Source organism: Homo sapiens, chromosome X (assembly GCF_000001405.40).
Source record: "Homo sapiens chromosome X, GRCh38.p14 Primary Assembly".
NCBI lineage: Eukaryota > Metazoa > Chordata > Mammalia > Primates > Hominidae > Homo > Homo sapiens.
Window position 1 is genome coordinate 142,232,781 of NC_000023.11, and position 1,783 is coordinate 142,234,563.

The 1,783-nt window shown below is 35.6% G+C and overlaps 1 annotated feature.

Moving 5' to 3' along the window:
• Nucleotides 368-1,159: an enhancer, noted in NCBI's record as "OCT4-NANOG hESC enhancer chrX:141320934-141321725 (GRCh37/hg19 assembly coordinates)". NCBI's record gives its function as "activates a minimal SCP1, AML or CMV promoter by ChIP-STARR-seq in naive and primed H9 embryonic stem cells {active_cell/tissue: H9 hESC(naive and primed)}" and the evidence as "EXISTENCE:reporter gene assay evidence [ECO:0000049][PMID:30033119]".

Consider the following 1,783-nt stretch of genomic DNA (forward strand, 5'->3'; position numbering starts at 1 on the left):
AACTGATCAATGTATTTTGTAATCTCCCCCACCCTTAAGAAGGTTCTTTGTAATTCTCCCCACCCTTGAGAATGTACTTTGTGAAATCCACCCCCTGCCCGCAAAACATTGCTCCTAACTCCACCGCCTATCCCAAAACCTATAAGAATTAATGATAATCCCACCACGCTTGCTGACTCTCTTTTTGGACTCAGCCCGCCTGCACCCAGGTGAAATAAACAGCTTTATTGCTCACACAAAACCTGTTTGGTGGTCTCTTCACATGGACACGTGAGACAGTACTGACCTCCTGTCTCATCCTGTGACATAGAATGCCTAACCTCCTGGGAATGCAGCCCAGTAGGTCTCAGCCTTATTTTATCCATCCCCTGTTCAAGATGGAGACAATCTATTTTGAATGTCTCTGACAAGAGGATTTCCAGAGTTCCTTTTTTCACCATTTTTACCCACAAGTCTGTCTATTTCAGTTTTTTGAAAAATAAAAAATAATCACTTTCTTTGATATCCTGCATTGAAGTCATTTTTTCCTTAAAATTTTACATAAGGTTTTAATTTGGCCACAATTTTTATTTGTACTTTGTGAAACTAAAACACTTCAGAGCAAAGCAACTCCCTGCGAGGTAACAGGAGCCATGCTTCTCTGAGTGCAGAGTAGAAAAAATGGCCAGAATATATTTCCAATAGACCTCTGAGCAGCCACAAAGAGATAGAAGAATATCTAGCTAAGCAGTACTTGACACCCTGGCTTTCACAGATTCTAAGCGTGCTGTTCCCTCTACCACTGTCCTTTGAAATGCTAATTAGCAGATTAACCACCTTTCACAGATCTTTAAGTACTTTTTCTCCTTAATTTAAAGGTCTTTGTTCTGTGAGATCTAAAACTAAGTCCATGACAGACTCAAAAAATTCACACTTCCTCTTGTTGCTTTTGGGATGCATTTGTTTATGTAAAGGTTGGGGCAGATGTCTGCCTAGAGTTTAAAACAGTTGTAGCCACTTCCTCTGAAAAAGTTTCCTAGCCTCTCAAGACTTTTGTTCACTTTCACCTCCCCAACACATGCTTGCATTGCACTTGGTTATACTCTGTACCTTTTACTACCATTTAAAAATTATCATTTTACTTTTCAGTATTCCCTGGTAGACCATACATTTTTCCAGGTCAGTGGTTATATTTGGTTTTAATCAATGCCCTGAGTATAGTATAAAGTCAGTAAATGACTGTTGATTTACTCCTTCATTGATTAGTTGACTTAAAAAATAGATTTATGAAAGACATAACAATATTTTTGATATTATATTGACAAAATAAAACTCTTCTGACTCCCAGAAATAAAATTCAATTAAAATAATGTCTGACTGGCAATTCTGCTTTGCTTTAGCTGTTATTTAAAAATTTCAAAACTAGAAGTGTTGGAATTTGAAGCAAGGCAACGAGAAAATATAAAACACTTAGAGCATAATTGATAGTTGAATTTGAAACAAAGCTAAACTTTTTTTTTATGAGACAGAGGAAGACATAGACAAAGAAGAGAGAGAGAGAGAAACCAGCAGAAGAGGAAAGAGAGATAACAAATAGATTCCAAATTTAGAGGGGATGGAAATGAAAAGAGAAATAGAAGAGAAACAAAAATGGCTTTAAGTACTTTACTTTAATTTTTAATATTTATTGGTTAGTCATCATTTTAAATTGATTGATGTCTTTCAAAAGTATTTCTATTAACAGTTTAATCTTAAATGTGACAGAATTAGTTAAAACGTACATGGTATAGCTATTGACAAAAGT